Source organism: Homo sapiens, chromosome 10, assembly GCF_000001405.40.
Source record: "Homo sapiens chromosome 10, GRCh38.p14 Primary Assembly".
Lineage (NCBI taxonomy): Eukaryota > Metazoa > Chordata > Mammalia > Primates > Hominidae > Homo > Homo sapiens.
Window position 1 is genome coordinate 67,254,193 of NC_000010.11, and position 22,299 is coordinate 67,276,491.

At 34.9% G+C, this 22,299-nt stretch overlaps 1 protein-coding gene across 8 annotated transcripts in view, besides 2 other annotated features; it reads right to left on the minus strand.

Annotated features, from left to right (window-relative positions):
* CTNNA3 (catenin alpha 3) overlaps positions 1-22,299 on the minus strand; it is a 1,851,072-nt gene that overhangs the window by 1,341,670 nt on the left and 487,103 nt on the right. The window lies entirely within an intron of this gene.
* Positions 10,849-11,018: an enhancer, noted in NCBI's record as "experimental_15618 CRE fragment used in MPRA reporter constructs". NCBI's record gives its function as "activates a minimal promoter by MPRAs in K562 erythroleukemia cells, with activity observed for both the introgressed and non-introgressed 10:69024884 variant alleles {active_cell/tissue: K562}" and the evidence as "EXISTENCE:reporter gene assay evidence [ECO:0000049][PMID:34662402]".
* Positions 12,742-12,911: an enhancer, noted in NCBI's record as "experimental_15623 CRE fragment used in MPRA reporter constructs". NCBI's record gives its function as "activates a minimal promoter by MPRAs in K562 erythroleukemia cells, with activity observed for both the introgressed and non-introgressed 10:69026777 variant alleles {active_cell/tissue: K562}" and the evidence as "EXISTENCE:reporter gene assay evidence [ECO:0000049][PMID:34662402]".

Consider the following 22,299-nt stretch of genomic DNA (forward strand, 5'->3'; position numbering starts at 1 on the left):
AATGCCCCAAAGTGGCCCCCGAGACTCACTTTAGTTCAAACTATGCAGTGACTTATAAATTAATTAGAAACATGAACAAATTGCAGCTAAGAAAAGCCCCCTAAAAAAAGAAAAGAGGAAGAAGTAAGAGAGAGGGATAAATAAAAACTAACATGTATCAAGTGTCTGCTATATAGATGGTAAGGTTCAAGGTATTTTCCCTTCCCTGTGAAGTGGGAATCATTATCACCATTCTTATTGACAATAACAGAAACACAGAAGGATCATAACTCATCCAAGGTAATAGGATTGCTACTACAGATGGCACTGGAACCTAGGTCTTTCTGATCTAAATCTATACTCTGAGCCCAATGTAATGCTACTTCTATTAACAGGTCTCTCAAGCTCACTATTCTAATATCATCATGTACAACAAAATAACATTTTAGTCAACGACAAACCACATATACAATGGTGGTCCTGTAAGATCGTAATGTCGTATATTTTTACCTTTTCTATGTTTAGATATGCTTAAGTAAATAAACACCATTGTGTTACAATCCCCTGTAGTATTTAGTAAGTAACATGCTGTACAGGTTTGTAGCCTAGTAGCAACAGGCTGTATCATGTAACGTAGGTGGGTAGTAGGCTATACCTTCTAGGTTTGTATAAGTACACTCTATGCTGTTTTACAATGAAATCGCCTAATGATGCATTTCTCACAAGTATCTACATTGGTAAATGATGCATGACTGTTTATCAAATGAAAGGCCTAAATTTTGAAGTGTCACTCTAAAATTTTTGTGTGATTGTTTCTATGCTATAAAACCACAATAATTTCTGGCCGGGCATGGTGGCTCACGACTGTAATCCCAGCACTTTGGGAGGCTGAGGCAGGTGGATCACCTGAGATCAGGAGTTCAAGACCAGCCTGACCAACAGGGAGAAACCATGTCTCTACTAAAAATACAAAATTAGCCAGGCATGGCGGTGTGCACCTGTAATCCCAGCTACTCAGGGGGCTGAGGCAGGAGAATCACTTGAACCAGGGAGGCAGAGGTTGCAGTGAGCTGAGATAATGCCATTGCACTCCAGCCTGGGCAACAAGAGCAAAACTCCATCTCAAAAATAAATAAATAAATAAATAAATTAATTAATTAATTTAAAAAACTACAATAATTTCTAAAATCTATTACAACTCCAAAATTCTCTAATTGTATCTTAGTCAAATAATATGCAGAAGGAAAATTACACAACTTAAGATTCCAACAATCCTGAGACCTATGTTTCTTCTATGTATTACATAAGCACAGACGCTAATTGGCTCTGTGTATAGTGCTTATTACTGGTGCTTACTGCTATACCCGCTTTATAGCTATTAAATACTTTAATCCTTCTAATAACCCTATGAAGCAAATTATTGTCTTCATTTTATAAAGAAACTGACATGCAAACATATTAACTGTTCAAGTTAAAACACTGATAAGCAGTGAAGGTGAGATTTAATCCAAAGTATTTTAGCTCCAGAGCCCATGTGTGTAACTGCTAGGCTGTCGGACTTTCCAGTAAGAACTGAAAACCTTCTCCTAGAGGTTCACAGTGTTTTAGTTTTGTATACATTTTCTCATTTGATCCCATTATATTGTGCTCATTACATAAATTAATAATCTAAGAAAACAATGGCTTATTTAATGTCATTCAGCTATCAACCAGCAGAAAACACTCTTCTAATTCTTGCAATACACCATGAGATTTTTTTCTTAGTGAATTCTTACCACTGAAAACCAGCACCACCAGAGAAATAATCACTTAAATATAATAGATATAGAGTATATATAACAGATAAAAGAGACAATAAGAACAGCAGCAAAAAAAAAAGGATTTCTCTCCTTTAAAATTCTTAGACCCTTAAATTATATTATTTTCTCTATCACCAAACTGGACTAGATTACACTAAGACCTTTGAAGCTTAGAGATTTAAGACAATTAGCTAAACCATTAGGAAAATATTATTTGCCACACCTTTCTCTTGCCTTGCTCTTTCTTTAATTTGGCATAAATGCATTTTTTCTAACTGCATTGATTGTTCACCAAACTAGGAAGCTTGCTCTTGATGCTAGTGAAGCAATGTCTTATTATCTTGATTGTATACCAAGATTATGCTTCAGTCTGAATTGTTTACTTAATAATTTCACTGCCTTACCGAATGCCTTCTTTTGATCTGTCTTGATGTCCAAAAATATTAGGGCATTAAATTTATTTTCATTATTAAAAGAACAATATAGACTATAAAAACCACATCGCTTCAGCTCCTTTTTGCATAATATGATGGGACACATGAATTTGATCATTACCAGATGGTTTATCTGAAAGATTACCCAATAAAAATGACTGCTTTTTCCCTAAAGTCTCTTTATCCTTACATTCGATTAAATGACATAAGATGGGATGATCTAGATTTTCTTAGAGTGAATTATCTGGGAATTTAACATTGCTTTGAAAAGTCTCTGAGTGATGTTAGACATTTATTTCCCACCAGGAAGGATAAACAGAACACAACATAAAATATTCACCCTAAGCTTTAATTAAAATCATTTAAGATCAAAAAGGGAGGTAGCACAGCAATACAGGGAGGAAAACTGCAAAAACTTCAGTATCATGGACATTAAAAATACCCAGTGGTACTTTTTTTAGTGAAATTTTTAGAACAAAATCAATTTAAATAGTTAAGAAAAAGTTTAGTTAAATAAAAAAAATTAAAATTGCAAAATGCAAACTCTGTTTATGAATGTCTTCCTTTAAATAAAAAAATGCATCTTTGCTAAGATTTTATGCTTATAGAAACACTTGCTTACTCATAATTCAAACATTTCACGAGTTTCCAGCTATAAACATGTTTATAATTTTAGAATTCTGATAGCAGATAATCATTTTATAACTATAAAACAATATCAAACAATAGTTATCTAAATAGTTTCTTGAATCATCATGTGATGTTTACACAGCTGGGCATTTAAGACCAATGTGTGAGAGATAATTGCATAGCTATAATTCCGAGCCTGTTGTTTTAAGAACAAGCAGGCTCTTGGGGAGATAAAGACAGGGTTTGTGATTTTCTAACTCAAAAAGTAATCTGGAGAATAAAGTATGTAAAGACTCCTAGAGTGCAATGCTGAAAGCACAAATTTCAGTTTAAACTAGGAAAGGCAAAAGCTAATGTTTTCATTGCCACATTAATTTTCTCACATTATACCTGAGCAGTGTTCTTGTTTCTAATTATATTCCTACATGAATGCCTTATTACATATAATGTGGGAAATATTACAGTGTGATATCTTGTGTTTCTTGGCTTGTGCTTCTTTTATATTTATAACTTTAATGTTCTACTTAGTGAGATTTTGTATATAATAATTATGCTCCAGTACACTGACTCTGCTCCACAAAACGCAAGTACAAAGTTCTCTTAAACAGCGGGTGGACTAGTGTTTCGTGCATGTTTTTTTGGTCTTGTTTTGTCTTGCGTCATTTTTGTTTTGGTTTTTTTGACAAGTTGGATAAGAAAAACCAAATTTTTTCTTTAATTAAAAACAATAATGGAAAATAATATTACAGATAATATAAAATAGAATAAAGAATTGAGGTTTTGTGTAAATTTTTGTGAATATATCTGAAAGGTTTTCTGAAAAACATGAAGTGTTCAGGTGTGACTTCCAGAAGCTGAAAAGCAATAGCTGTTTAGACTCTCCTTACATCATCACAAAGTTTAACAAAACTGACTTCTTGCCCAAGAGTTCATGAAATCATTTATACTCCCAACATTTATTAAGGGCCTAATGTGTGTGTCAGACAATCTGCCAGTCACCTGGGTTTCAGATTAACAAGGATAAGTCCTTTCCTTGTTCCTTCTACATATGCAATCCCTCTTCAAAAATCTGCATTTCCTTGCTCATTTCAACAATGGTTATCCTTTGTTTGTTTGTTTGTTTGTTTGAGATGGAGTCTCACTCTGTTGCCCAGGCTGGAGAGCAGTGGCTTGATTTTGGTTCATTGCAACCTCCGCCTCCCAGGTTCCAGCAATTCTCCTGCCTCAGCCTCCCGAGTAGCTGGGACTACAGGTGCACACCACCACACCTGGCTAATTTTTGTAATTTTAGTAGAGATGGAGTTTCACCATATTGGTCAGGCTGGTCTTGAATTCCTGACCTCAGGTAATCCACTCGCCATGACCTCCCAAAGTGCTGCGATTACAGGTGTGAGCCACAGTGCCCGGCCACAATGATTTTTCTTAAAAGTACTTGTCATAATACCCAAATTTTCTTAAAGTAACAATTTATAGTTTTCCAAAAGCGAACACCTAGAGAACTTTCATGGCACTTTGTTTAGCCGACAACTTTGAAAATTTTATTTTATTGTAGTAAGAACACAAAATAAGATCTATCTTTCAACTGTGATTTTTTTTACCCTTAAGTGATGTCTGCTTTATTCTATCCCTTTCCATGAAAACTGAAGCCCCAAAGGTTGAATGAATCTTAAAAATTAGTCACTTTCTCAGTGTAAAAACATTCATTGTATCAATATGTAATTTAAATATGCTATTTTTCAAGCCAAGTATTGTTTCAGAATTAAAGGTGTTCAAATATTCCCTCAAGAATATGTTTGTCCTTCGTACCAGAGGGCATTGGTTCTAGGATCCCCACTGATACCAGAATTCTCAGATGCTCAAGTCTCTTATATAAAATAGCATAGTATTTGTAGCAAACCTACACACCTCCTCTCATATCCTTTAAATCATCTCTAGATTACACATAATACCTAATATAATGTAACTACTATGTAAATAATTGTTGTACTATATTTTTTCTTTTTATTATTTTTATTGTTGCGTTGTGCTCTTTTTCCCCACATATTTTCAACCCACAGTTGATTGAATCTGCAGATAGGAAACCAGTGGATTCAGAGGGACAACTATATTCTCCAAAACATAATCTTAAATGCTCACATTTTAGCTTTTAACTACTTACTACTACAACACAAGTTCCCAGTCTGCAGAACCTAAACCCATTCTGCGGAGTGAAACCCAAGATAATCACTCTTTAAGTGTATCTCTTAGTTGTCTCTCCATATTTTTATAGATTGGAGACATATCTTTACAACATCTTTTTTATCAGCCTTAAAGCTCTGAACATAAATCTAAAACATCAAATCTCAACACTGACCCTGAAGTTATATAATGCAAAAACAAACAATAAAAAAAAAAGCATTTAGCATTAAAAGAGCTGAATACAATCTTGGCTCACCTACTCCCCAGTAAGTTAACAAGACCTGAGCTAATCATTTACGCAGAAGCTTGGATCACTTTACAGAGTGAATAATACTTATCACAAGGAGAGTTTGGAAAGATGATAATAAGATAATATGCATGTGAGAGCACTTACACTGTAAAATATACGTCCCTGAGGTTGCTGCCTGCTGCCTACTTCATGACTATTTTTGCGCCACTTTATGTTCCCGCTTCCTTGCTTCTAACTCCCATGACCCTCTATGTTTTTGCCTAATTGGCAAACATATTCTCAGTTTCTCAGCTGCAGGATACCAGGTGACCTTGCTCTCTGATTCTGCCTCTTTTCTACTATTAGTCAAATGAAGTAGCTTCATAAGTAGCACAGGCAGTTTCCTGTAAAGTGTAATTGGGATAGTGTTGGAAGGGCCCCTTTCCCAAACACACCTCCTCTACTGTTCTGCCTAGGGCATGTAGTTTCATCATCAAAATATAATTATCATACCATATATACTATATGTTAGTATAATCCATTACCTTGGATTAAAGCACAATTTCTTCAGCAGTCCTTTACTAGATGCCAGTACCCTAAAGAATAAACTAATCAAGTAACATGTATTTGCTCAGCTTATTTTATATACATTAGCGCTGCGCTAAATAACAAATGAACCCAATAACGGCATCGTTTCCTAAATAAGAGCCATCATCTGGAGGGAGTGGGACCACAGAGGTTAGGTGTTTCTCATTCAGCATGATAATGGAGAAGGAAAGAGTGGGCAAGAACCTAGCTTCTGAGGAACAGAAACTCAGAAGATGCTACACTCGGAAGAGGACCCAAAGTAGCCACAGTGCAGAATGGAAGTCTTATGTATGAAAAGGATTCAAAACACTATGACATTTGCTGTTCCTTTATAATTAGCCTTCTCTTTGTAAGTAGTCCTAATGAAGAAATTTGGCAACAAATATAAAATAGTTTCTCCACAAAATAATTTTAGGGACTCCCTTAAACACAGAAAAAAATGTAGTAGCTGTTATTTAAGTGCCCAGGAAGTCTCCTCACTCCAAAATATCTCTCACATTCAACACCTAGAAATTCATTCTTCTATAGATCCAAACCATTAGGCAAGAAGTGTCCTACCAATAATGCCGTCCTTGAAATGCAAGCATTGCAGGTATAAATAACATTGAATCATAACATGCTACGTGACTTTCACTGTTTTGTTTTGTTTTTTTGTTTTTTTTTTGTTTTTTTGAGGTGGAGTTTCACTCTTGTTGCCCAGCCTGGAGTGCAGTGGCTCAATCTCGGCTCACTGCAACCTCTGCCTCCTGGGTTCAAGCGATTCTCTCGCCTCAGCCTCCTGAGTAGCTGGGATTACAGGCATGTGCCACCACACCCGGCTAATTTTTTTATTTTTAGTAGAGATGGGGTTTCTCCATGTTGGTCAGGCTGGCCTCGAACTCCTGACCTCAGGTGATCCACCCACCTTGGCCTCCCAAAGTGCTAGGATTACAGGCGTGAGCCACCACGCCCAGCGACTTTCACTGCTAAATCCATTTCTTTGACAAAAGAAAGTGAAGTTATCAAGTGCTCTGATAGAAAGCCTCAGTGGTCATTCATGTGGTCAGCCTGTCTATAAGTCATCTTGGGGACTGGTTTTTAATAAGCAGAGGGTTTCCTGTGCTCCAAAATTTGCTTAGGGCTGACCCTGACAACTCTATTTATTTATTTATGCATACAAACACAGTTTAAATTAGCAAACAGATGAGTTAAAATAATGAGATTACCAAATGAACACAAAAGGTATCCTGAATCTTCCCAAACCCAATTCAAAGCCAAGCCTTAAAATCAAGAGGGACAGAAGTGCTCAGCAAACCACCTGCAATTTAACTGAGTTCAAGGAGTTAAAAGGTCTTAAAATTAACCATGAAATGTGAAAAATATATGAATGGTCTTCAAAAACAACATTTGGGAAACTTTATGTCAGAAATACCAACACTGTGGTTGCCAAGAGTGAGGCATTTTGCGATGACTAACAAATTAAGGCATCTTAATGTGAAAACTGATTATATAATGCATAATCAAGCAGAGTAAGGAGGAAACAGAGGTATGCTTTCTCATTAATTCTGGCTTAGAACTACATTGCGTAACATCACCAGATTTATGAATATAGAGCAACTTTAAAAATCCACGGATGTTCCCTGAATCAAATCATTTTTATAGCTCAAAGAGGCTGTCATTTCAAATACACACATTTATTCAAAATATTTTTATTGTCTCTATTTACTATAAAATCTCAAAACTATAGTAGTCAGGATGGTCAGCAAGGGGTAATTGGTCCAGAAAAACAATTCAGAAAAGAGAAATCAGAGAAAAATGGCTCATTTTCAGTGATGCTGCCTCTAGTTCATGTTGGGGATTTTTTTCTTTATGTATGTAGCTACACAGGGTTCTGCTATACAAATAAGTTGGATATGTTTTTTAAAATCAACTAATACTAACACAAATGTAGCACTGACTATGTGTTGAGAACTGTTCTATGTATACTATCTCATTTAAATATAATACTCAATACACTTTAATGATGCATGGTATAATATTGTACAATAATATTAAATATAAATTGCTCAATCTCATTCAATATTTCAATGATCTGATACTTTTTAGACTAAAAATAAATGGGAAAAGAGAAAGAGAGAAGAGAAAAGGCATAATTATTATTATAAGCCACAAGTTTTCACGTATAATAGGATGAATACTATATTGGCATTCAAGTAATTTAGTTCCCACAATAAATAATAAGATACATCATCCAACCTATTATCTGCTATATCATAAAAATAATTTTATATGCAGGATCAAAAGGGGTGATTTTCTTGACTTTTCTGTGACTATTTTCAAAAGTCATGAAGCAGAACATCCACGCAAGAGGATAAACTGGCTCTGCAGCTGACCCCTGGAGGTACTAATGCAGAGTTTGAAAGGGGAGGAAAGCTTATTACTAGTGACCATGAGATTCCCCAACTTATATTAGTCAGAAATAGCACCCCAGGATGGAATACTAAATCATAAGGGTATCCTACAAAGGCAGTCTAGAATGTGAGAGGTCTAGGATCTGTGGATGTCAGAGAAGTCTGTATTTTCACAAATCATAAAAACCGAAACCGCTTTAAACAGTTTTTTTAAAAAACAGCTCATACTCCCTCTGTGATTTCACAAAAGGCTGTCCGTGGATCTTTGGCGGGGAAAAATCCCTGCTAGAGACAAAAAGGGGAACAAATTAAACAACAATATAAAACCCAAATTGATTTAAAACTTGTCAGGAAAAAAATTATTTCACAAAAGCAAAGAAATAATGTTAAAAATGAGAATGCAAAATAACACAAAGGGGAAGTGAAAAATAGCACCGCTAATCAGCAAAGGCAAGAGTTCCAATAAATTACGGCTCATTCTGAAATGACAGACTCCAGGGTGTTTTCAATCAGTCTTCAGTGAGAAAATATTTAAAAAGGAAGAACTGTATAAGTTCAAGTAATTAACATCTTACTTGTATAGGAACTAGTTAGTAGGGAGAAGGGGATAAAACTTGATGCCATAACACAGCACTTGGAGAAAACTAAGTCTCTACAGGTTAGCAGGTCCAGATGGCAAGAAACCCAAGGTAATATAACAAGCAGTGGTGGAGTATTTATTCAAACTAGTCAATCATCACTGCAAGGCCCTGGTACCTTTCTTTTACAAATGAGTTCTTGTTTCAGCCATCAACTTCATCATCCCCAGAAGCCCAAAACAACACTCCAGTTTATAACCTGATTGAATTGCAGTGATTTCAGACCTAGTACTATTGTGATCTGGGATCTTTTTATTACGGCATCATAAACATCACTTTCAACAACTTTCCTGTATGTCTTTGCCCCGTTCTGAGAGATATAAGTCAGAGGTGGAGAAAAGGCTACAAATGCGTTGATTTGTGGCATGAAGAATTGTGCAGAATCTTTTCCTTTGATATGACAGTCCAAGGGGTATATTAACAAGGGCAGATGGTTGCCATCATTTGTTACAAGCACCTATTCATTATAAAAAAGGAAAAACAACTCATCCCTCAAGAAAGGATTTAAAGTGATACCAGAAGACCTCGATCTTCCACTCTCCAGCCTCCCTGCTTCATCTTGGTAAGGATGTTGTTCCTAACCCTTCCTTCTATGCCAGGGAAAGGATATGCAAACTAAAAAAGAAGAAGTACCAGATGTGAAATTCTATAAAATGCCAACTGATTCACACCCTACACTCTGAGGATTTACACACACTTCCACTTCTGGCAGGACCAAGGGTAATGAGAATTCTGCTGTCGCTGGTGAAGAAGTAGCAAATCACAGCCAAAAAGGACACCTACCCCTGGGAACGAGAACTTCAATTCCAATAAATGAGGCAATGCTGATGAGATAAAATTTACATTTAAGTCACAAAGCTACTGGAACTGAATTGTAATAAAAAAAAGTGTCAGACAATAAAGCAGTTTGATAACGTCAGCTTTTTTACTGTTGTGTGTGTATCTGAAAGAAAGTTTCTTTAAAAAAAAAAGGGTAACATTTGAACTAGCATTGAAGTTATATTATTTTACAATATTTTATATTAAGGAAATATCAAAAATGAATAATATACTATAGTTTATTAAGGACACATGATGGGTTAGGGACTTGACATGTTTTATCTCATTTAGTATACTTGATCCAGATAGACCCATTTTTAAGCAGCAGCAGCTCAGAAAGGGTGAGTAACTAGTCCAAAGCCCTGGCGGTAGGAAGGACCAGAAGTGGGATTCAAACTAAAGCCTGCCAGACTCCTAAGTCATTGTTGTTTGTGCCTCAGATTCCCTTTGCAAAATTCACTATTAAATTTTTTCAAAGTTATAATAATAACTATTAAGGGCTTACTATGTTCCAGGTATACTGTCTCACTATATCTCCAAACAGCTATATGAGGTACTATTTCACCTATTTACAGTTAGGAAACTAAGACTCAAAGGAGGTAAGTAACATGCCCAGTTAGAAAGTAGGATAAACATGATTCACATTCAAATCACTGCCTCCAAAGCCTCAGCACATTTCCAAAATTCATAAGAGCTACAAAATTGGAACAGACATTAAATGCCTGGTCTTTGGGGAATTCCTCTATTCTGCAAATTTTAGATTTAGATTCCCACCTGTCTAGCTTCATCTTTTATGTGTTTGTTTTCTCCTCTCTTCTTCTCATTATAGATACCATAACTTCCTAGATTCATGAAATGTTAGAGATAGAGGTTCACCCTCCGAAAAATTGACCTACTGAGGACTAAAAGTAACTTAATAACAAAGTACAATATACATCCCAAATTGCTCAACAGTTGGATAAACTTTCCACTGCATGATGCCGTAATTCACCATTTCCAAAATAAGTAAATATGAAGGCATCGAGAAAAGACTATGAAAAATCCAATTCTAGTGTTTTGAAGGTAACAATTAGATATAATGACTTCGTATCAAGGGTAAATTTTTGAAATCAGTCACTACTTTAATAGGATTTTCTTATGCTATAAAAACATCAAAATATGCAACCTAGCTTTGAAAGCTCTCTAAGTTGTGTTCCCAACCTGGCAAACCCTGTACACCAGCTCATCTGTTCTACTTGCCATACCTAGTATAAGTCCTTGTCTGTCCTATTTCTGGAACTGTGACAACTTTCTCCACATTTCCATCTTTTAAAATAATCAAACTCAACCATTCATCCTTATAGCTTCTATCACAAAGTCCCAGCCATGATCAGTTGAAGGCTCATATTCCGTTACTTTGAAATTCTATCAACAGATTTATGATGACTTGATTATACTTTTTTTATATCTTCTCTTTCCCCAAGACTTCCCTAAAATGGTGAAAGAGCAATAGACACATACAAAACAAATAAAAGGCCTAACTGAATGAGATTTTCAGCATATTTGCAAGGAGGGTGCTAACAAAAGATGGATAACTTACTTAGCAGGGAGGGGAAGCTATAACTTTAAAAGGGGAATAAAGATAAGAGAGTTGATTCACTTCACAGAACCCTTAAGGAGGTTTGGGGTTTAAAGTCTGTTTCTATGGGGTACAAAATGCCCACACACACCTCCCTCCTACTCCCTGCACTAGATACAAGCACCAAGAGAATACCGCATTTTCCATGGGATAAATTTAACTGGAGTAGCTCAACACTCAGAGACATCAGGTACTGTGAAGAGCAAGGAAAAAAAGTGGATTAATTAAACATCCATGTGTTGAGTTAAGAGATGCCTCCTCCTCAGCCTCTATCTCTTCATGTGCAAAAACCTGGAAACCAGGCATCTTCCACACACATAAGGAATCAAAGATTACTTCCTTGGAAAAACTGACCTGCCGCAGAGAAAAATATCTTTATTCTCAGCTTGAGGTTCTCCAGCAAAGTGCTAGGTCCTAACACCCCGGAGATTCCAAAATGAAACAGATCAATCGACAAGGCCTAGAAACAGATCTGCAAATCAGCCTTTTAATGCTTCATTCAAACCTAGACTGACACCCAAGAAACACCAAACATTTCATGAAAGATTTCAATAAAAAGAGAGACCAAAATAAACAGAGAAAAAAATTAAAACTGGAAGAAGCTGATATACGCTAGAAAGAGAAAAAAGTCATCAAAAAATTTTATCAGTATCCTCAGAAAGGTAAATGATTAAGATTACAATCTTAAAATAAGGACAGGATACTACAGAAAATGAAAAAGCAAAAGACAAGAAAGAACACTAAACAATTCAACTTACACTTCATCTTATGCATGCAGTGAACTGTATTTTTGTTCAAAAAAAATATATATGTTCTACCCCTCTCAGAGGGGAGGCTATCCTCCCCTGTCCCCTCCATGGCTGGCTATTTGCTATTGATTTCCTTTGGGCAATGAAATGTGTTTGAATGTGATGTTTCACCGAAACCTTAGAGCGAGCATGCGGTTGGCATTTTTCCCCCTCTGGCACAAGACTGGCAATATTCTAGATAGCAGTTAGAATATTGATATAATCTAGAATATGATATAATCTAGACTATTGATATCATCTAATATTGAATATTAGATTCCAGCATTTTGAATCCTCAAAGGAAGATGATGTGGACACATCTGTAGCTGACCCACAGTGAGTAACTATCATGATAAGGAATTAACTTTGTGGAGATGAGTAACTCAGAAATGAGGAGTTGCTTTTCAAAGGGTACAAAGTTTCAGCTAGATAGGAAGAATACACTTTAAGATCTATGTCACAGCAGGGTGACTACAGTCAAAAACAACATATTGCATAGTTCAAAATAACTAAGAGAGTAAACTTCAAATGTATCACCACAAGAAAAAAGTTAAATAGTGAGGTAATGGATATGTTAATTAATTTGATTTAATCATTCCACACTGTATACATACATCCAAAACATCAAATTCTATGCTATAAATGTAATACAATTATGATTTATCAATTAAAAATAATATTAACTTTAATAGAATTAAACTTTTGTTGTTGAAAGCTTTTGAAATTCTGGGCATGCTTTTTTACTTCAGATAATCTGGTCTATCCTGACAATTACAATAGGTTTGATCACATTGACAGGGCTTTGGATTTTATTTTAAAAGACTGACCCAAATTAGTAGGCACATAGAAAACGAAGAAATTAAAACACAAACAATTCTTAACTCTGGATAAAACGAAAAGAAATATAAGAACAAACTGTAGCCATTTTACACTATGTGATTCAGAGTAAAAAATATTTACATAGTAATAATAGCATAATCACTTCATACTGGCTGAAATAAAAACACGAAATTACTGAAAGGATAGGAAGAAGTTCTGTGTGTGTGTGTGCATGTAAAAGCGATATGAAAATTAAATTATAATCTTCTTTTTTTGTTTTTGAGATGGAGTCTCGCTCTGTTGCCCAGGCTGGAGTGCAGTGGCACGATCTTGGCTCACTGCAAGCTCTGCCTCCCAGGTTCATGCCATCCTCCTGCCTCAGCCTCCCAAGTAGCTGAGACTACAGGTGCCTGCCACCATGCCTGGCTAATTTTTTTGTATTTTTTAGTAGAGATGGGGTTTCACCGTGTTAGCCAGGATTGTCTCGATCTTCTGACCTCGTGATCCACCCACCTCGGCCTCCCAAAAATTATAATCTTCTTCAAAAGGAAATCTATAAAGATCTAACCTTGAAACATCAAGAAAAACAGTATACTGTGTGATATTTAGAAATATGAATATAAATACTAGAAGAAACAATTAAAAGATTTAAAATAGTTGCCTCTGAGGCATGAGAACTGGGAGACAGGCTGGAACATGGGACAGCTATTTTTTATTATAGCATTATTTGATTTATTATATGTACTATTTTGGTAAAAGTGAAAATTAAATGAAAACAGTAGTTTACTCTTATCTTTTACAAATACTGAGTTAAATATCAGAAGAAAGAGCCAAGAATTTAAAAATAGTTGTCTCTGGAAAATAATTGGGAAGTGAAGAGGGGTTAAGCACATAATAATTTGATAAAATTTAAAAAATTAAAATTTTCTAAGAGAAAATGAGTAATCTGAAATAACTGAAATTTGTGAATAAGTGGAATTTGGTTTTGGCATAGTGGGTCAAATCATCAGAAAACAAACTCATATGAGAAATAAACTACTCAATACTGGTTTATCTCCTGGTAGAATCAATCATTTAACAGTGGCCAAGCATGGTGGCTCATGCTTGTAAAGTCAGTATTTTGGGAGGCGAAGGCAGGAGGATTGATTGACGCCAGGAGTTTGATACCAGACTAGGTAACATAGAAAGACTCCCATCTCTACAAAAATAAATTAAATTAAATTAAATTAAATTAAATTAAATTAAATTAAATTAAATAAATAAATAAAAAATCAGCCGTTAGCGGCGGCTCATGCCTGTAGTGCCAGCTACTTGGCCACTAAGGCAGGAGGATTGCATGAGCCCAGGAGTTCAAGGCTGCAGGGAGCTATGATCACACCACTTCACTGGGCAACAAAGGGAGACCCAGCCTCTGAACAAACAAACAAAAAAGCTTTGGGTCCCTCTACGGCCTTTTTTGTTTTTCAAAATGAGACTTTTTAATAAGGTCACATTGGGTGCTTTAAGAACTTCAATTATTATAAAGCGTAAATTACTTTTAATATGCAGTTCCATACTTAGACTGCACAATGCACATCTCAGAGGCATTCTCAACAACCATTAAACATTTTGAATTCAATTTTCAGTTAAACCAGTATTTTATTAACAACAGATTCCAGTTAAATACAACAAATATTAAACAGCTATTGTATATGCAAATGACATTGCCCTAGGCTTTGTTGGGGATAAAAGTTAAAATATCTCAATCTTTAATTGAGTTTATAATCTTCCAAGGAATATAAGCCATGCAATAATAACTACTAAAAATAAAAAAAATGTCCAAAAGAGATGGTTAAAGGAAAATCCTTATCATTCAGAGAACCGTGGTCATTGGAAATAGGATTTGAACATCTGAATCCAGACAGAGAATTATCTAAGAGTAAAATAGTATCATAAAGCATGAGAGAAGGACAGTATGGCACATGTGAGTGCAGAAAATCATTCATTTTGGCTGGAACATAAGGTGGATTCAGGGGAGTAGTAAAAAATAAATAAAGTAAATAGTCTGGGAGAAGATCATGGGGCTCCTTGAGAGTCAAGTTAACCTTTTTATAATTCATATAACAGAAAGGTTGGAGTCATTAAAGATTTTTTATGAACAAGTGGCTTATCTAGATTTATTGTTTAAAAAATTAGTCCAGAAATGTATATGAGAAGGATTAAAAGGGAAAGGATGAAAGCTATGTTTTATTTTATATTAATAGATAATAATGAGAAAATCTTATTCTCTGAATAAATAGCTAGACATACATTTTGAGGATTATTATTCTCAAGCACTGTGTACATTTCAAATGTGCTTCAATATTTTGTGAACATTCAATATTTTGTGAAGGTGTTTTAGAGAAGTCATAAGCAAGCAACACATGCATTGAGCTCTGTAAACTCTGTTTATGTTATTAATCAGAATAGCTCCTGTCCATCTAAAGGAGGAATAGATGTCTTTAAGAAGAAATGAAAAAATAAAGTAAATGTGAAAATTTCCCTTACTTATTTCCAAACAAGTGCTCCTCCAAAAAAATGCAAATAATTAAGTTTCTGAAATGGTGAACATATCAGATTAGTAGACATATGGCAGGAGCAGCAAATGAGCAGATCAAGTTGAAGTCCTAGTATTACCAATCTGTTAATGTTGACAGGAAGACTCATTTTGACTGTTCCTTTTATATCAATAAATGAGTGGATTTCAACTACTCTAAATAGGAATGCTAAAAGCAGCACTGCTAAAAGTGCATATCAAACCAATAATTTTCTGATGCTGTTTTGGTATATCCTACAAACATTTGTAGGACAACAACTCAGAAGGGAAAAAAATATCTTATGCCTTTGAGGTCTGTACTGAATGCTAATGCATTTGTATATGATGGGTTTAATACAGAACTGAGAATAAATTACTTTCAGCAGCTGCACTCTAGACCTATAAATCGCTCTGAGTACTACAAAATCCATACAAAGGAAGAACAGCTGGATAATTTACACCACCAGTATTTGTCAAAAAAAAAAAAAAAAGCTGAAAATACAGAACCTGATTTGTCCCTTTTTCGAGTATACACGTCTACAAAAATTAAACATTATCTTTCTAGAGAATCTATTAGGATAGGCACATCTATTCGCATCTTGACATGTTGCTCTTTTAAAATAAACATAATTCCTCTTATTTTAAAAGCACTTTTTAAAAGGATAAAAGCAGCAAAGAAAAAAACTTTTCCTTATAACCAAACGCAAGCACAAAGAAAAGTCTGTTAATGTTTATTTTGTGTTCCAATTGCTATGCTCTGGTAAAATTCTACAAAAGGAAACACGTTAACCAGATGACTTGCAGAGCACAGTGATACCAAAAATAGTACTTAAGTTAATACACTAATTGCAAAGTTGCAGAGATTAAGTTCACCATTCTAGTTCTTGGATAAACTTTTGGAGAGGGAGTATTTAAAGTTTAATATAAGGGCTGTCTTAAGCTTCCTAAAGAATAATACAAGCAGTAAAAATGTGCTCCGTATAAGTGAACTCCAGAAATAGAAAGCTGCAGTCACTAAAGGAATATTAGCTTTTGTGTAAGCAACAAAATTACCCTTTTGCAACTTCTATTAAAGTCAATACAAGAGAGTGGCTAATGGCTAATTTTGCTCACAAATCTACCATTGTTTTGAGTTTTTATATGTGACGCTAATTCGTAAAGAAGCCATACTACCTTGATAATAACAACAAAGAAAAATTCTTAAGTCCCCACATGGTAATTACTGTGATCTATATGTAGAAATTTGACAATATGTCAAAATTTGAACCTATTTTCAAATGAACCTATATCAGTTTCAGAAATCTAAGCGTTCCTAAAACAATGATTAACAAAAACCAATTGGTGTTACTCTCCAAATCATGCAATCTAGTGGACTGTAATTCCAATATTATAAAAATGCTGTGATAGGAATATGCATGAGTGAACAAACAGGCGGCTTTATCTGCCTGCCAATTTCACATCCACTGGAAACAAAAGGAATAGGTGAGGTTATTCTTAATTGATGCCTGTCAATCTTTCTTTTCCTACACTACTAATATGGTTAGGCTTTGCGTTCCCACCCAAATCTCATTTTGAATTGTAATCCCAATAATCCTCATGTGTCAAGGGAGAGACCAGGTGGAGTAATCGAATCATGGGGGTGGTTCCCCCATGCTGTTCTTGTGATAGTGAGTTCGTTCTCAGGAGATCTAATGGTTTTATAAGGGGCTCTTCCCCACTTTCGCAGCACTCAACTCTGTCCTGCCGCCCTGTGAAGAAGTTGCCTGCCTCCCCTTTGTGTTCTGCCATGATTGTAAGTTTCCTGAGGCCTCTCCAGCAATGTGGAACTGTGAGTCAATTAAACCTCTTTCCTTTACAAATTACCCAGTCCCAGGTATTTCTTCATAGCAATGTGAGAACGGACTAATACAACTACACTCTTCTAATCACTTTATTTTAAAATCAGATAGCTTGGAGCCCAAACAAGGCCTCCTCTCTGTCAATTGTCCTTAATCTGAACTCAGTTTTAGAACACTCACAACCACATAGGATATAAACTCATTTAGCAAAATGCCAGGGAAAAAAATAATAGGCATCCAGTAGTAGAAGTAAGCAAAGATTGACAAAGAATCCAAGCCCTAAAGTGTCCATAAGGTTGAAGAGTTTAAAAATGACACACTAGTTTATGTGAAGTAAGAGTCATGCAGATAACTGGAGGACTTATCTACTTATCTGTATTTCTCTCAAGTTATGCTGCTTACTAGTTCACAGCATAAACCACCAACCAGATGGCTTAATTGCACAGCAGACATTCTTACATTGCCTTAAACTAGGAATAGAGGGCTACTAGTAAATATACAAAAATAAAACAAGTAACATTGTTTATGGCCCACTAAACTGTATACATTTATGTGATTCTCTTCCCTATACCTCTGTCACAACTTTGTATCTTTTCTGGATTCTCTCTTAGGAGTTCATGGACTGAACTGAGCTAACTTTAAATGCACTACTATACTTAACTATTCTATAATTCTGAAGTTGCCGTAATTTCTCAAGTTAAAATACCCTGTGGTTCCAAACTCAACCCAACTTATTTCAAGACTGGTAGCACCCAATTTTTTTAAATGTCCATTAAGGCTGGGCACGGTTGTTCATGCTTGTAATCCTAGCACTTTGGGAGGCTGAGGCAGATGGATCACTTGAGCCTAGGAGTTCAAGACCAGCCTGGGCAATATCGAGAAACCTTGTCTCTACAAAAAAATACAAAAATTAGCTGGGAGTGGTGGTGCATGCCTGTAGTCCCGGTTACTTGGGAGGCTGAGATGGGAGGATCGCTTGAACCCAATAGTTGGAGGCTGTAGTCAGCTATCATTGTACCACTGCACTCCAGCCTGAGCGATAGGGTAAGACCCTGTCTCAAAAAATAATAATAAATAAATAAAATGCCCATTAAATAAAAATCTTAAGCAAAGTTAATACTTTATTAATTCATTGTTGTGGAAACCAAACCATTTTAGCAGAAGAGAATACAAAATAATGTTCAAAGAATAGGGAAGAAAGTTTTAGTTCTCATAATTTGCAATGCACTAAAGCATCTTGATAATTACTTGTTAAAGTTCCTGGCCTCAAATAATCTTATAATTTTGAGGACATTTTCTGATTGATCTCTCTATTATTACTCCATGTAGGTGCATGACTATCTTTTGCATGGAGGTATTTTTACAAACCTCTATATCCCACAACACAATACCACTACTTGATAAATAATTATTTATCACTCATCTGTCACTCATCAAAATCTATCATTTCCACTTATTTTCTTTAATCATCTCAGCTCACATGGGTTCCCTCTCTCACATAAAGTCCCATACTACTTATTATTTGTAGCATAATGTAGTAGTTACAATTACACAGTTTTCATCCTAGCCATCCTGTATCAGAGTTCTATCATTTATTACTCATGAGACTATGGAGAAGTCACATAACCATCATAACTCCTATTCCTCATACCTAAAATGGAAATAATTATATCTATTTCCCAAGGTTTTTGTGAGAAATGACTAAAACCATATATGAAAGTGCTTACAACTCAATAGAAAGCGGGAAAAGATAAAAATAAATAAAAATACAACTCAATAATAAGACAAACAACCCAATTTAAAAATGGGAAAACTATGTTAACAGACACTTACAAAGAAAGACATATAAATGGCCATTAATCACATGAGAAGATACTCAAAATTATATTCATTAGGGGAATGCAAATTAAACCACCATTAGATGCCAATACACATCTGGCAAAAGCTGAAGTTCCAGCAACCAGAACTCTTATACATTAGTCAGTCAGAGGGTAAAATGATAAAACTCCTTCAGGAAAGAGTGTGACCATTTCTTATAAAACTGAAAATATGTCTATCCTATGACCAAATAATTTCATTCTTATTTATTTAAGAGAAATAAAAGTATGTTCCACAGAAAGCCTTGTGCATGGATGTAAATAGCACCTTTATTTATAATAACCAAAACTTAGAAATGCCCAGGTGTCAAAAAATAGAGAAATGTATAAACAATTGTGGTATATTACTACTTTCCCATAAAAAGAAACAAACTACTGGTATATATAATGACATAGATAAATATTAAAAATGTCACAACAAGTGAAAGAAGACTTACACAAAACAGAATGCACTGTGTGATTCCATTAATGTAAAGTAATGAGAACAGGCAAAACTAATGAAGGGTGGAAAAGGTGAGAATAGTGGTTGTCTAGTGTGGGAGGCACTCCTGGCTCACAAGAGGGATAAAGGAACTTGAAACTATCTGAGGTGATGGGTTACAAGGATGTTTGTATTCATCAAAATGCAGAATATGTACGCTTAAGATTTAGGCATTTAAATGAAAGTTTTGCCATAAATTTACTATAAAACAAAAACATTGGAAAATAACTATAAATTAAAAGCAGAAAACAAATCAATCTATTGATAAGCATAAATTAGAGTAAAATAATTAAACTGAACAAAGAGATTCTCACAACTGTTCTTAGTTCAGCTTCATGCTGTTTCAAGAGAAAACTATAGAAAGATTCAAACAAAAGAAATGGAAGAAGAGTTACAAAGCAGATATTAAATAAAAGAATGTTGAATAAGTTAAGAATAAAGGAAATACTGTTTTTATACCAGACCAAAAAAGATGTTTAGGCCAATAAGAGTTACTAGTATACAAGGGTCATTGGATAAAGACAATAGGAATATTTACTAGGAAATAATTACAATTCTTGATTTCCACGACCTCAATAGCATAATCACAAATATTTGAAACAATAATTGACTGAATTATGAAGACATTGGCAAATTTACAATCGCCATGAGAGATTATACCACATCTCTTTTGGTAGTTAAAAATTAAGGAGATGGCCTGGCGCAGTGGCTCACACCTGTAATCATAGCACTTTAGGAGGCTGAGGCCAGCGGATTGCTTGAGCCCAGGAATTCAAGACCAGCCTGGGCAATACAGCAAAACTCCATTTCTACAAAAATACAAAAAAATTAGCTGAGCACAGTGGTGTGTGCCTGTGTCCCCAGCTACTCAGAGGCTGAGATAAGAGGATTCCTTGAGCCCAGGAGGTCAAAGCCACAGTGAGCCATGATCATGTCATGGCACTCCAGGCTGAGGGACAGAGATAGACTCTGTCTCAATAAAATAAAAATTTTACTGACAAAATATCAGTAAGAATCAGATTTGAACAACATGATTATTATTTAATTTAATGAACAAATATAGAATCATTAGATATATTCAATAGAAAATATATTCTGATTAAAGCATTCATGAGACATTTACACTATTGACCACCCACTAAGCCAGAAAGCAAAGCAAATCTCAATTTGAAGAATCAAGATTATACAACCCACATTTTCTGACCATCATGATAATACATTAGAAGTCAGTAAAAATGTTCCAGAGAAATAATAGTAGCAACGCATATGGTCCTTGCTAAGTGGTGGGCACTCTTCTGAGTATTTTAAATACGTTAGCACTTTTAATCCTTGTAACAACTATATAAGGTAGGTACTGCTATTATCATCCCAGTTTCATAGATGAGCAAATTGAGGCAGAAAGAGAATAAATAAGGTGCTAAATAACCACACGTGCACACATAAGTGGTGGAGCTCAGCTGTGGTCCTTGGCAGCATGGCTTTGGAGGTAGAACTCTTAGCCAAAATAACATTAGGATCAAAGAAAATGTCTTTATGTAAATTAGATAATAGATGAGAAACTTTGATCAAACTACAACAGCTACATATTACCTGGAGGAAAATAAAGAGCCTTAAATATTTGTGTTAGAAATTATTTTTAAAAAATGACTGACAATGAATGTGCTAAGCGTATAAAAAACCGAAGAAATTGAAAAAAGAATAACAGTAAACCCTAAAAGAAAGAAGAAAATGATAAGGATAAAATCAGAAATTAATGAAATGGAAAAAATCAAGATTAATAAATTCAAAAGGGTACCTCTAAATTCAAAAAAAGTGGAACCAAACTGGAATTTTCCCATTGGTGTTTACATTGCTTAGGAGGCATGTATCACATTATAAACTGTCCTAAGAACTATCTTCTGTAATTCACATATATTCCTGAGCTCTCTCCTTTTCAGGTTAAATCAACACAATTTCTTTAGCCGTCTTTACTGATCCTGCTTTCTAGCCCTTCACTAATTTCCATTTATTATCTTCTGATTTTTTCCACTTCTTCTTAGTCTTCTTAATTTATGGATCAGAAAACTAGCTCAGAACCTTAATAAGAATCCGAATGGCACTGAGCATAGTTGGAAAATCACTTCTGGGTTTTACATTATAAATATTTAGAATGATCATATAAAATGAACTGCAATATGTTTCAGGAAACTTTAAAAATGTTCAGATAATACTAACGGGGCTTCATAAGAATATCACCAAAATACAGACTTACCAAGACTGGCCATTCATTGTCACTAGTTGCAAATTAAATCTGCAAACATCATCCTCAAAATTTTACAATTAATTTTAATGGATTATGGAAGAATTTAGGACAGCCTATCCATTATAACAAATTCCTGAAACAATGTTTTTGTCTGATTGGAGAGTATAAAAATTACCTTGTTGAGTTTGCCTGTTTACTTTTCAAACCAGGTATTGAAAATTGAAATATAGTCACCAGTCAGAAGTTGTTGCAGTAGGCTTCAAATAAGTTTAATATACTTATTGCTGCCTTTCTAAAATTCTATGCAAAGAAAGCAATCAGATACTGAAATAAGTATTTATGGGCAAAGATTCTCAGTGCAGTATTGTTGGTATTATTAAAATTCAGAAACAAACCAT